At 45.7% G+C, this 13779-nt stretch overlaps 1 long non-coding RNA gene across 2 annotated transcripts; it reads right to left on the bottom strand.

Moving 5' to 3' along the window:
* Nucleotides 1–4649: 4649 nt before the first annotated feature.
* LOC105370407 (uncharacterized) lies at nt 4650–7747 on the bottom strand. Of its 2 annotated transcripts, none has more exons than XR_943607.3 (3): nt 7658–7747; nt 6738–6771; nt 4650–4735 (listed from the first exon to the last, which is right to left on the bottom strand). It is a non-coding gene; the product is annotated as an uncharacterized LOC105370407 (long non-coding RNA). The 2 variants fall into 2 exon arrangements; XR_001750653.2 differs by having other exon boundaries at nt 4655–4735; nt 6679–6771.
* Between the last annotated feature and the right edge of the window lie 6032 nt (nt 7748–13779).

Below are 13779 nucleotides of genomic sequence, written 5' to 3'. Positions count from 1 at the left end.
AGACAAAAATAATCTTCTGGTCTGGCCTGTGGTGGCTGTCGGTCTTGCAAGGAAGAGTCTTTGATATGGGCAGAGCTTTGGGTTGCAGATGCCAGATGCATATCACGAGTGATAGCAAGATGGTGTCTGTTAAGGTGGACTTTTCAAGCTGCTGAGGTCCTGCTCTTTTAATGGCCACCCCAGAGTCCTCTGGTGAGAACTGATAGTGGAAAAGTGTGCTTGGTTATGTCCTTATCTGGTTGGATGTAGTCTTTATTGATTAGGCAAAATATCTGTTCTCTTTTGGCAAGGGGCCTTTTGAAATGTAAGATGGAGTCTGTTTCTGAGATACAGTTACTTATGTCATGGGGGCGCTATACAAAGTGCCACACTTAAGACCACAGAGGGATTCTCTCCCATGGAATACAACTCTGTGGAGCACGAGTCCATGAAGCATAGTTTATACTGACAGCTGAGAGGACATGCAGGATGACATCAATAGGTGTGGTGGCTAGCTCCAAGACGGTCCTAGTGGTCCCTGTCTCTTGGTATTCACACCCTCTTCTCCCCCACATTGTACCATGATTAATCTGTGCAACCAATAGCATATGGCAGGTGTGATGGCATGTCACTTCCGAGGCTAAGTCATAAAAGACATCATGGCTTCTTTCTTGCTCTCTTGAAGAGAGTAAGTTGCTGTGTCTTGGGCAGCCTTATGGAGAAGCTTACTTGGTGAGAATCTGAGGTCTCCTGATAACAGCCAGAGAGAAACTGAGGCACAGCCACGTAAGTGACCCCTCTTGGAAGTAGCTCCTCCAGCCGATCAAGACTTCAGGTGCTGCAGCCCTGGCCATCTTCTTGACTGCAACCTCACAGGAGACCCTGAGCTAGAACCACCCAGCTAAACCAATTCTGGATTCCTGACCTTCAGAAGTTGTATGAGATAATAAACATTATCTTAAGCCATTATAACAATAGATAACTAATAAAACAACATTCTTCTAGCACAATTTTAAACAAATGGAATTAAATGTAACACATCTTGTATAAATATTGATAAAACTCTTAATGTGTGAAATGAAAGTAAATGTTTAATAATACTAAGATATATTCAATAGCATGGTGGGGGAAGTGTATTATGCAAGAGATATATTGGGAAAATTTATGAGATTTCTTTGGAGAACACTGATAATTTCTCACTCCCTCACCTCTGGGAAGAGAATAAGAAGCTACTTTCCAACATAAACCTATTGAGAGGGAGCTTCCGGGGCACATTGAGAAAGCTTGGTGTGTGTTCTCTGCAGCTGGGGAGGGGAGATCTTAGATTCCTGCCTAACTCAGGCCTGAGAAAGCTGAAGTTGCTTGTGACCAAAAGACAGATGACCTGCATTTCCAGGATTTGTTGGAGGGTTGAAGGTTTTCCATAGAACAAATATTTGCCACTCAGCATAGGGAAAACCAGGCTGGAGCTCTTTTAAGTTCTTCCCAAGAAGATCACATGAAGAGTAAAATTTGTTGGTGTATTGTGGACCACCAGATCAGGGCTGGTGGTGGAGTGGGGGGGTGGCAGCTGGAGAAACAGAATCCATTGCCCACATCACAGATCGTGTTGGGCTCTGCCGAACCCAAGGGTTACAAGAGTCTGTTTTAGACATCTGCCAGGTCAAAGAGCAAGCCACGTAAGTACCATCCTGTCCTCTGACTATCTCTCTTCAACCCTGGTAGGAGAGGAGTTGAATGAAGAAGGAGCAGAAGCCACTGCAACCTCCTTCCTAGATCACAGACTCTCTCACTGCTGGCCCTGGCTGGGGAGCAGCAGGGGGAGGAGAGGGAGGAGTCTTACCTATGGATGAAGTGTGAAGTATTGATTATTGTCTTGGCTAGACATCTCTTCTAAGTTTTTTATTATGAGAGTTGTTGAACATAAAGGAAGGTGTCCATCACCTAGATGTAATGATTGTTACTGTTTTGCATATTTGCTTCATCTTGTTTTTGCTGAAGTGTTGGGGTAGATTGAAGACGTGTGTTTCACATTTCTGGATACTTCAGACTGCCTCTTCATAGAATAAGGATGTTTTCCTGCGTGCCACAGCAATGTTGTGGGATTAATGATGATTCCTTGGCATGTCCTGGTACCTGTACATATGTGGGTTTCCTAACTGTCTCTAAGGTATGTTTTCATATATAATTGGCTTGTTCATGCCCAGAAAGAAAAACTGGATACTTAACATCTTAACTGAGGCAGTTAATTTATGACTTAAAATGAGTCAGAACTGTGCCCAAAGAAAAACCATAAGAATTTCATTCAGGAGTGGAGGAATTTTATCCCTGCTGAAAAAAGCTGAAAGACAGGACAGAAAACAAGAGGAGAATTATGTATTCTCATAATTTCAAAAACAAGAAAAGTTTATGTCTTGTAAGGTGACAGGCACTGCTGGAAAGATGCTGTAATAAGTTTATTCACGTCTTCGAAACCCAGATGTTTAAAAACTGCATGGGAACCTTATACATTGCTAATGTGCATGCAAATTGGTGCAAATTCTATGCAGGGTGCTGCAGCTGAATCTATCAACATTTTTAAAGCATACATTCTTTGATACAACAATCCCTTCCTATAAATAAATTCCTATGGAATTTATTCTGTATGTATCCTTACCAGTGAAATGGCAGTAAAAGGATTTGCCTTGCAGCATTGTTTGTAATAGCAGAAAATTGGAAACTATCTTAAAAGACCATCAGTGAGGGACTAGTTGAATATATGGTTGTATATATTATTATTTTTGTGATATATTACGTGTGTGTGTGTGTGTGTGTGTGTGTGTGTGTGTGTGTGTGTGTGTGTGGTGTCTTAGCTCAGGCTGCCATAACAAAATACCATGAACTGGGTGGGTTAAAGAGCAGACATTTCTTTCTCCCAGTTCTGGAGACTGGGAAGTTCAAGATCAGGGTTCCTGCTGCTGGGTTTTCTGATGAGTTCCTGGCTTGCAGACTGCCATCTTCTGGCTGTGTCCTCACATGACAGATAGAGAGCTCTGGTGTCTCCTCTTAATAAGCCTTATTCTAGGCATCACCCTTATGGCCTCATTTAACTTTAATGACTTCTTCACTCTACATACAGTTAACATTGGGTGTTAGGACTTCAACATATAATTGGGGTGGGGGTCACAATTCAGTCTCTTGCATGTGGCGTGGTATTCCACAACGGAAATGCAATAGAATAAGCTAGCAGAAAGAATGAGGCTCTATGTACAGATAGACTGTGAAGTGGAAAACAGCAAAGAACAGGATGAGGAGCTGAGTGCATGAGCTGAGTGCCCACATTTGCCCTCCTTATTCACTCTTGGCCCTTCCCCACCTGTTCCGTGCCCCAGAGTGACCTCTTTAAACTGCATCAATAGACTCTTGTTCTCTGGCTTAGGTTGAGTGCAGCCCATGAGGTGCTGCAGCAAAAGGTCAGAGGGAGGAGAGGAAGGACAGGTGATTATGCCCCCACACCTCCCTGGAATGCTCCTCAACTGGCAGTGTTGCTCACACTATGTCACTGTGCCCTCTCACTCAACTGTTGCTGGCTTTGGGCTTTTCCTACACCTTGGTAAACAGTCCATTTATTAAACTCTACTGAAATGACTCACTTTATGTGTGCCATCTGTTTTCTGTCAGGACTCTTGTTGATACAGTACGTTAACATTTGTGTTTTTTTAAAAAAAAAAACTGGTAAGTATGCTTGCAGGTTGAGGTACATGCACTTATTTATGCTTAGAATATCTCTGGAAAACTGCAGAAGAAACTGGTAACAGTGGTTGCCTCGAGGGAAGGAAAATGGGTGGCTGGGAATAGGGGGAGAAGAAGGGATATGTATGTTTCCTGCACCCCTTTTGTTCCTTTTAAATTTTGTACTCTATGTAGATATTACTTATTCAAAAATAAGTCTTAATTTAATTATTTAAAAAATAAAAAACAAAAACTGCAGAGAGGCTTGGTGCCAGAAATCTTTACAGGCAGCCATCCCTGTAGCACCCAGGTACCTCCCTCCCTAGGGGCAGCTGCCTCTGCTGGCAGATACTCCAAGCTACCAACTAAACAAAAATACAAACAAAAGCATAATTAACAGGCTTCTTCCACTCTGCACTATGTAGATGAGAGGTGCAATGTTCTGAAAAACTTTGATGCGTTAACTCAGACCATTTGCTGATACTCATTGGCAGGCAACAGGTTCCTACTAAAGGCAGTAATTCATAACCACCATCAGCATGTGTGCTTACCACACTTTTGTCCCTCCCCTGGTGGAGGTCAGAGCCACAGTGACCAGGATAGAGCCTGCTGGGGATTTTCACTTAGGCCCACCCTCTAGTCCCTCTCTGACATCTTTGCCACCCTAGGGACTCAAAACCATCTATGGCCTGGTTGAGCAACAGCAACACATCAGGGGGTCAGGCTTGGAGACCACACAGGAAGGCCTTATCCACCTCCTTTGGGCTTGGCTCTTTCTCCTGCTCCTCAGCCATGGCCGACCCATTATTTAGCAACATCTCTATTTTATCATGCTCATTATACTGCAGTGTTCTTCATTTTCATCTCATTATTGTTGGCGGGGTCATCCAGCGGTTTTGTCACCCAGGAGACTGGGAGGGAAGCTGTACACTCAGCTCTCTTCCCCAGGCTTGGCTAATCCATCATCTGACAATACATTGTCAGGTGTCTGTCTTCTGGTTGTAGGGTGGCCACCGGAGCCTGTCAGTCCTTCCAGCTCTTCTTCCTGTCAGAGATGTCTAGTTTAATCACAGTTCCCTGCATCGATCCTTCCCTGCTTAGACAGAAAAACATATCTATATTTTATAGACAGATATATAATTGGTAGAGAAAACAGTACATGCATACAAATCCTTTGTATGACTCTTTCGGGGGAGTAGTGTCTCGAGGTAACTGACTGCAGTATTGGAAGCATATAGGATAGAATCACTCCTGCCCTAAAGAACACATGTTGCTGCTACTTCCCCAGCTAACATGACACGAGGGCTGTGGATAGAAGTCCCTAGGACATTTTTGCAAAAAGGCTACCATAATTTTGCCCCAGTTCTGCGGCATTGCAAAACTGGTTAGGATCTCAAGGAGGTGACCACAGGAAAGGAGTGGACAAGGCACTGCTGTGAGGGGAACTGATGCCCATTGTCTCCACCTGAGGGCCCTGCCCATCTCTCCTCACATTCTGCTCTCCAGCCCCATAGCGGAGATATAGGGCTCTAAGCCCCAAGCCCCCCGCCCACCCTGTGCCTTTTCTCATGTGGTGTCTCTGCTGGAACTGCTTCTTCTCATCCTGTGAAACCCAGATCTCCACTGCTGCCTCTTTGGTGAACGCTTCCTGGATCCCTACCCTATACCCATCAATACCCCTCCAGCAAATTGAAACCTACTTTCTTCTGTGGTCCCATAGCACTTTGCTCCTGGGATTGTTGCAGTTGGTTCTCCACTGTGTGACTCTTCCATTGCTTGCACATCATCAGATTTTGCTAGGTGCCTAATGCACAGAACATAGCTTAACTGAATAGTACTACATCCAGAATGCTAATTAGAGATACTTACGTAAAGCACTGTCTTAGTCAGTTTGGGCTGTTATAACAATTGGGTGGTTTAAACAACAAACATTTATTTCTCACACTTCTAGAGGCTGGCAGTCTTGGGTTCTTGGTGAGATCCCTCTTCCTGGTGAACAGACAGTTGTCTCCTTGTTGTGTCTTCACAAGGTAGAGAGAGCTCTGGTCCCTTCATCTCCTTATAAGGGTTACCCATCATGCGTGCTCCACCCTCATGAACTCATCTAAACCTATTTACCTTCCAAAGACACCCCACCTCCAACTACCATCACATTGGTGATTAGGACATCAATATATGAATTTTGGAGGGACATAAACAGTTCAGAGCAAGCATCTAACAATTGAGGGTTTGCTTTTGTGCCAGACACTGTGCTGAGAACTTCACAGGCACTATCTCGCTTAACCCTCACCACAAGCTACAGAGTGTCCCCCTCTGGCAGCTAGAAGACCAGGACTAGAAGAGGGTAAGTAACTTAGTCAAGGCCACATGGCTAGAAATTGATAGCAATTGGATTTACATCCAAGTCTGACTCCACAGCATTTATTTCTTAAACTTTTTAAATTCAAAAATAATACCTGCATATGGTAAGGAATAAAAAGGACCTAACTCCCTTGAAACATAAAAAGTAAGTGTCCCTGCTACCCAGATCATCAACACATCTCCCAAAAGCAATCACTGTTGTCAACTCCCTTTTTCTTTCTAAAATTAGTCTATACATATACTCTTCTGTTTGCTTTCACACAGTAGCATATGCTAGATATTCTTCTACAACTTGCTTTGTTTTCACTTTACTTATATCTTGGAGATTGTTTCATTATCAATGGCTACAGACCTAGCCTCATTCTTTTTAACTAATGCAGAGTATTCTACAAATGGATATGCTATAACTTATTTAATCAACTTCTGTCGACGAGCCTTCAGTGGTTTCCTGTCTTTTGCTATTATATTGGGGCTCTAAAGTGTATCCTTGTCCATAAGTCTTGGCACAAGCTCCATTGCATTTAAATCTTTGTTCCTTCTGGAACTTTTGGTATAATAAATGAGGTTCAGAATCAGTAAGCCATGTGCTCTTGACCACTTATACACTACGATGGCCAAATATCTTACCTGGCACATAGCAGGTGCTTGTAAGTGGTTACCATAACAATGGCAATAGTGATACTCACAGCAGCATCCACGGCAGCACATCCTCAGGGAACGCTGTTGTATATATGAAGAGGCCATTAGTCCACAGCATTAAGGAGGGCTACCTGGCAGTCTTCTAACCCTCAGTAAGACTAGGCCCTAATAGCCACTTACCCATCAGAATAAATGAGTTTGCGGAACCTTCCTGAGAGTAATTTTTGACATGGGGAGGGAAGAAAGACATCACAAGAATACAGTGATGGGATGCAGCCAAAGGGTGCTGACCCAGGATGGAGGAGCTTCTGAAGACACACTCTTGGCGATTTGTTTAAGGAACTCCTAGTGAACAGTTCAGAAGAACCGCAGTCTGCACAATATTCAGTGGATGCAGACTAACAGGGATGGCCAAACACCAGAGGGAATGGAGGCAGGTACTTGTTTTAGGAGAGGTGATGGGCAAGGAGACAAAGCCAGCAGGGGCCAGACCAGACGTCTGAACACAGAACAGACCCTTTGGTTGCATGACAACACACAGGGCTTATGGCAAGCAGTAAGAGGCTCCATTTTGGGATTGGGTGAAGAGACACCTTCACTCCCCAGAGAATTGGTGCACACAATGCAAAGCAGATGCTGCTCTTCAGCCGCGGAGTTGATGGGCACAAACAAATCCCCTGCTGGGTGGAGGTTGGGGCGTCACAGAGAATAACTGATCAGTAGGGTGTGTCCCCATGCTCGGTATGAAGACTTGGTATTAAGATATCATAATAACAGCTAATATAAATCATAATCCAGGCCCAGATGTTAATTCATTTCCTTCTCTCAACACCCCTACAAGTGTACTCCCACTTTACACGTGAGAAAACTGGATCACAAAGAAGTTGACCCTCCAGAATTGGAGTCATATAACTTGTGTCTATTATCAAAATTTGGATATCAGTTTGGCTCTGAGGGATGCACTTACAGATGGCTGGCTGTCCCCTAAGATGCGGTCTTCACAAGGAGAGCCCCCAGCACAGTGATCAGGATTTAGGTCACATCTGTGCCTTTTTTAAGCCACTTGACCCCAGGGACTGGCAGATGTCAGTGCTGCTCTGTTCCTTCCTGGTCCTCCTGGATGAAGACTACAGTGAAGGCACAAGCTGTTTCTCTGAATAATGCAACCATGGAATAGTGGGAGTAAGAGCACTGGACAGGGAGCCAGGAAGCCCAGGTCAGCAGATGGATGAGAGAGCCCAGGAGGAAGGAAGGAGATGGGCAAGCCTCCTGGCCCAGCTCTGCAGGAAACCAGCTATGGGCTGAACACAGAGGTCCCCAGATCCACCCGTGTCAGGCAGGCTCCAGTAGGAGTCAGCAAACACGGGGGTCAGGGATGGTGTAGCAGGCCTCTGGCCTCACACCACAAAATCTACTGATTAGATTAGCCAGGACGCGCCATCACAGGGGTCAGGGCTTTCTTCCGCTTCAACTTTTCGGCAAGCTCTTGCCTCCACCATCCTGGGAGAGGTGGGCTAACTCCTGTGAAAGGCACTTGGGTCATCTTTCAGGGGGATGCTGCTTCCTCCTCCCTGCCCCGCCCTCTATCCAGGACTAGATGGATTTGCTGTGCTCTGGTTTTGCCATGTATCCAGACATCTACCAGCTGGACTGGCCAGGGACAACCAAAACATGAAGTCAGAAAAGAACAAAGCCAATTTCCTTCAGCAGCCCAAGACCTTGACCTCACCAGCCCTGGGCCCCACCCCTCACACCCATCTCTAGCTCACTGCTCAGACAGAGGAAGGGAGTCCCCCTTCATCTGCTGCACTTGTGAGAACCACAGTGTCTTCCGGTCCCTGTCCTGGCTCTCATCTGAGGGGTGCTTTGAGCTGTCCTTCTACCCCCGCAGGTTGTCATGGTGACTGCCGCTCAAACTCTCCATTGGACAGAGCAGCAGATTGTCTCCATGGTGATCAAAAAGATCTGTGGAGAAAGGATGTTTGGCCTTGGAAACGAACTCATGGGAAAACTCCTGGGAAATAAGCCTCTTCTGGGGGCATCAGAAGAGATTCTCCTCCTTGTGACACAGTTCTTCAGCCATTCCACTGGCCCAGAAAGCTTAGCTTTCTAACGGTTGATGCCATCATCTGTGTTAACATTCTAGCCATAGAGGATGCCAACTCCAGATTCCTGGCTGTGCCAAGGAAAACTTGCAAGTCAGGAAAGTATAGCTGAGATGCTGAAAAGCACCTGCCCTTTCAGTGCTCTGCAGCAGTGCCCCCTGCACACCTTCCTCCCCAGTCTCCATGGAGCCTGGCTTCTCTCCCACTCTGACAAGACGCTGGGCCCACTTCTTCCTGATAGGGTGTGAACTGATACAGCTGAAAACAATGCTCTTCCCTCACCGCCCCCCCGAAAAACATGTGCATTTTAGGAGAATCTTTGATAACAAAACAAACAAGTCTCTGCTGTTGCCCAACAGTCTCTGATAGACATTTCTCTGCCCCATGTATGCATATTTCTTTTTTTTTTAAATTGTACTTTAAGTTTTAGGGTACATGTGCACAATGTGCAGGTTAGTTACATATGTGTACATGTGCCATGCTGGTGTGCTGCACCCATTAACTCGTCATCTAGCATTAGGTATATCTCCCAATGCTATCCCTCCCCGCTCCCCCCACCCCACAACAGTCCCCAGAGTGTGATGTTCCCCTTCCTGTGTCCTTGTGTTCTCATTGTTCAATTCCCACCTATGAGTGAGAATATGCGGTGTTTGGTTTTTTGTTCTTGCGATAGTTTACTGAGAATGATGATTTCCAATTTCATCCATGTCCCTACAAAGGACATTCTTTTCTACCTTTCATACCTTGAATCTTGGCTTTTGCACAGTTAAAGCTCACAGTATAACAGGGAGGTCACTAGGGCTCTTTGAAACACCTAGTCCCTTGCTAATCTGACACTTGCACTCCTGCAATCAGGCTGGGCTAGGTCAAGAGAGATTGGCTTTCCTCCCTTTGCTTTTCAGACAGGAACCATTTCCCTACCTACCTCAGGCACCCCACAACTTCTTGTCTCTCCCTATCACTACTTGCTTTCAAAGAGGATCAGAAACCCATTCACATCGGAATGTGACTAATAACAAATTAAAGTATATTCTCCCCCAGGGAAATCAGAGGTTAAATTGTAAGGAATAATTCCTAAGGGGAATTCAGGCACCAGCTCAAGGATCACTGCTACAAGAGTACAGTCTGAACTTTACTCTTAGAAAGAAAAAGAAATGATATGGGTCTTCTTTTCTCCAAAGCATTTCTTTATACTTGCCGACTCCCTTGGGTGATAAAGGGAGTTGGTTTTGTTTCTAAAGCCTAAGATGTGATTTGTCATAAAGTTCTGCCACACTGAAGCTAGATATAGCAGCACCATAAGAGGACTCTACCTCCACTGCCCAATGTCACTGCTTCCTTCCCAGCTGCCTGGCCTCGCTAGGGCACAAGCATGGTGGTACTCACTAGCATATTCAGGTGGGGCAGCCCACCATGGGCAGCCACTCCCCCAGCTGCCTCCTCATCTTCACCTCCTCTTCGTGACCCTGGGTTTCTCCTGGGATGTCTCACTCACTAAAAGCAAATCAAAAAGCCTTTTTCAGATACACCTGAGTTCAAGTATGAGCTTCACCAATTATGCCACTGAGTATCTGTCTGCTTGAATTTCTCCAAAAGTAGAGCCTAAGACAGGTAAATCCTTTGTGATGTGACTTTGGGGGAAGCAGGGAGAGGGCAGGGAGAGAGATTCAGGTCAGCAAGCAGAGCTAATATAAATAACGATGCAGTGTGGGGTCGCTGCTGTGGGCAACAGGAATCAATTCCACCAGGACCCACTGAGAAACTAACAGAATGTCTTCCTGCCCATAGGAGGGAAACTATGCTGTGTCCCGCGCTCGTTAACCCTATGCTTCTGACTGGTGCATGTTTGAGATGAGTCTGGACTTCCTGGGACCTGTCCGCCTTGGCTGAGCTGGGGGCGCTGAAGGGATGACCACTCTTTGGCAAGTTACTGACCATTCCCGGAATCTAGGTTCTTCACAGGTAACCCTCTACCTCACAGAGCTGTAATAATCTATAAATGAGAGAACTCCTGAGACACTGTTAGCACAGTGCCTGACCCAGAATAAAGGCTCCATAAATAGCAGCTACTATTCCCGTGCTGCGACTGGAGATGTGGAAGCGCCTCTGTTGAGCCCTAAGGCTCTGAGAGTCTGTAGTACACACCCCACCCCCATCTCTCTGGCAGGACCTAGATTGGGTAGGACTGGAAATGACATAGGAAATGGCTGCTGAGGAAGCAACCTGATTTCCAGATCTAGGAAACTCCGACAAGTCTTTTGCTTATTTCTCAAAAGAAAGACAACCCCAGCAGGGCCTGGAGTGCATGAGGCAGAGAGGTCTGTAGCTCCGGAGTGGCAAGGAGGGTGGAATCCTCCACTTTTTTTTTTAAAGAAGGAACAGTTTTCTTATATGGTTTGCCACTACCAATGCACCAGGCTGACCCTTCAGAACATGAATTCATTCATTCAGAATTCATTTATTTATTCAACAAGCCTTCACTAAGGACTTCCTATGTGCCAACCTCCTTGTTGGAAGCAGGGCCATCAGAAATGAAAGGTAATCCCCGCACTAAGAACAGAAAGGTACGGCAATGATGCCTATGCACTATAACAAGTGCCACACTAGAGGCTGCCCTGGAAGGTGAATTCCACCAAAGGGAGCAACCTGCAAAGGCTTCGCGACAAGACAGGACACAGCACATGGCACTCATGGGGCACTATAAGTCATTCAATGGGCAGCAGTGATGCTCCTAAGGACACGTAATGTTTATTTTTTTAAAAAAATTTTTAAAGACTGACCAGGGAAGTAGAGGTCAGGATTTGAGAAGAGTTGTCTGCCACACAAGGGAATTTGGCCTCATCCTAAAGCTGATGGAAAGTCACACCAAAGAATGTATTCATTGGGAGGCTGAGATGGGTGGATCACCAGATCAGGAGATCGAGACCAACCTGGCTAACAGGGTGAAACCCCATCTCTACTAAAATTACAAAAAATTAGCCGGGCATGGTGGTGGACACCTGTAGTCCCAGCTACTCGGGAGGCTGAGGCAGGAGAATGGCATGAACCCGGGAGGCGGAGCTTGCGGTGAGCCGAGATCACGCCACCGCACTCCAGCCTGGGCTACAAAGCGAGACTCTGTCTCAAAAAAAAAAAAATGTATTCAGTACCCTTCAGTACCCCTCAGTCCAACCCCCCCCCCGCTATGGTTTGAATGTGTCTCCTCTAAAATTCGGGTGTTGAAACTTTTTTTTTTGAGACAGAGTTTCACTCTTGTTGCCTAGGCTGGAGTGCAATGGCATGATCTTGGCTTGCTGCAACCTCCGCCTCCCGGGTTCAAGCCATTCTCCTACCTCAGCCTCCCAGGTATCTGGGATTACAGGCATGTGCCACCACGCCCAGCTAATTTTGTATTTTTTGTAGTGACGGGGGTTTCACCATGTTGGTCAGGCTGGTCTTGAACTCCTGACCTCAGGCAATCCACCCACCTCAGCCTCCCAACATGCTGGGATTACAGGCATGAGCCACAGCACCCGGCCAGGTGTTGAAACTTAATGGCCAGTGTGATGGTATTGAGGTGGGACTCTAAGAGGTATTTAGGTCAGGAGGACTCCTCCCCTTATGAATGGGATTAAGGCCCTTATAAAAGGGGCTTCACAAGCATTCAGCTCTCTTGCCCTTCACTCCTGCCCTGTGAAGACATATTATTCCTCCCCTCCAGGGGATGTAGCACCAAGGCGCCATCTTGGAAGCAGAGAGACCAGGTCCTCTGTAGCCAGCACCTTGATATGGAACTTCCCAGCCTCCAGAGATGTAAGAAGCTGTCTTTTACAGATGACCCCATCGCAGGTATTTTGTTATAGTAGCACAAATGGACGAAGACACCCCTCATTGTCATAAATGCTGCAACTTCTACATCAACAGTGATGTTCTAATCTATAAATGAAGACAGAATCAAAAGCAACCAATAGGCCTCTTTGCAAATAAACTTTTGGTAGCTGTTTAAAATCACCACAAACAACAGAAACCCTTCTTCTCTTGCCTTTGCTGATTGAAAAATTGTTGGCCAGGCACAGTGGCTCATGCCTGTAATCCCAGCACTTTGGGAGGCCGAGGCGGGCAGATCAGTTGAGGCCAGGAGTTTGAGAACAGCCTGGCCAACATGGCGAAACCCCATCTCTACTAATAATACAAAAATTAGCCAGGCGTAGTGGTGTGCACCTATAGTCCCAGCTACTCAGGAGGCTGAGGCATGAGAATCGCTTGAAACTGGGAGGCAGAAGTTGCAGTGAGCTGAGATGGCAGCACTGTACTCCATCCTGGGAGACAGAGCAAAACTCTGTCTCAAAAAAAAAAAAAAAGAAAGAAAGAAAGAAAAAGAAAAATTGTTCATACATCATCCTGAGCCACCTTTATACTTTCACTGAGAAAGTTCATAGCATTGCTGTGGAGTCCCAGGTACAATAATGTGATGATTAATACTGAGTGTCAACTTGATTGGATTGAAGGATAAAAGTATTGATCTTGGGTGTGTCTGTGAGCGTGTTGCCAAAAGAGATTAAAATTTGAGCCGGTGGGCTGGGGAAAGCAGATCCACCCTTAATCTGGTGGGCACAATCTAATCAGCTTCCAGAGAATATAAAGCAGGCAGAAAAATGTGAAAAGGAGAGATAGGCCTAGTCTCTGCCGCTCTACATCTTTCTCTCATGCTGGATGCTTCCTTCCCTCGAACATCGGACTCCAAGTTCTTCAGTTTTAGGACTGTGACTGGCTCTCCTTGCTCCTCAGCTTGCAGACAGCCTATTGTGGGACCTTGTGATCCTGTAAATTAATACTTAATAAAATCCCATATATATATTCATTCAAAGAATATATATATCCTATTAGTTCTGTCTCTCTAAGAGAACCCTGACTAATACAAATACATACTGAGTGGATAGATGAATGGAAAGGGGACAACAGTAATAATGATAAATGTGATGAGCAACTATGCATGCCTGCTTGC

Source organism: Homo sapiens, chromosome 14, assembly GCF_000001405.40.
Source record: "Homo sapiens chromosome 14, GRCh38.p14 Primary Assembly".
Taxonomy (NCBI): domain Eukaryota; kingdom Metazoa; phylum Chordata; class Mammalia; order Primates; family Hominidae; genus Homo; species Homo sapiens.
Note: the sequence above shows the minus strand (reverse complement) of the source record. Positions and strands in the feature narration are given on the sequence as shown.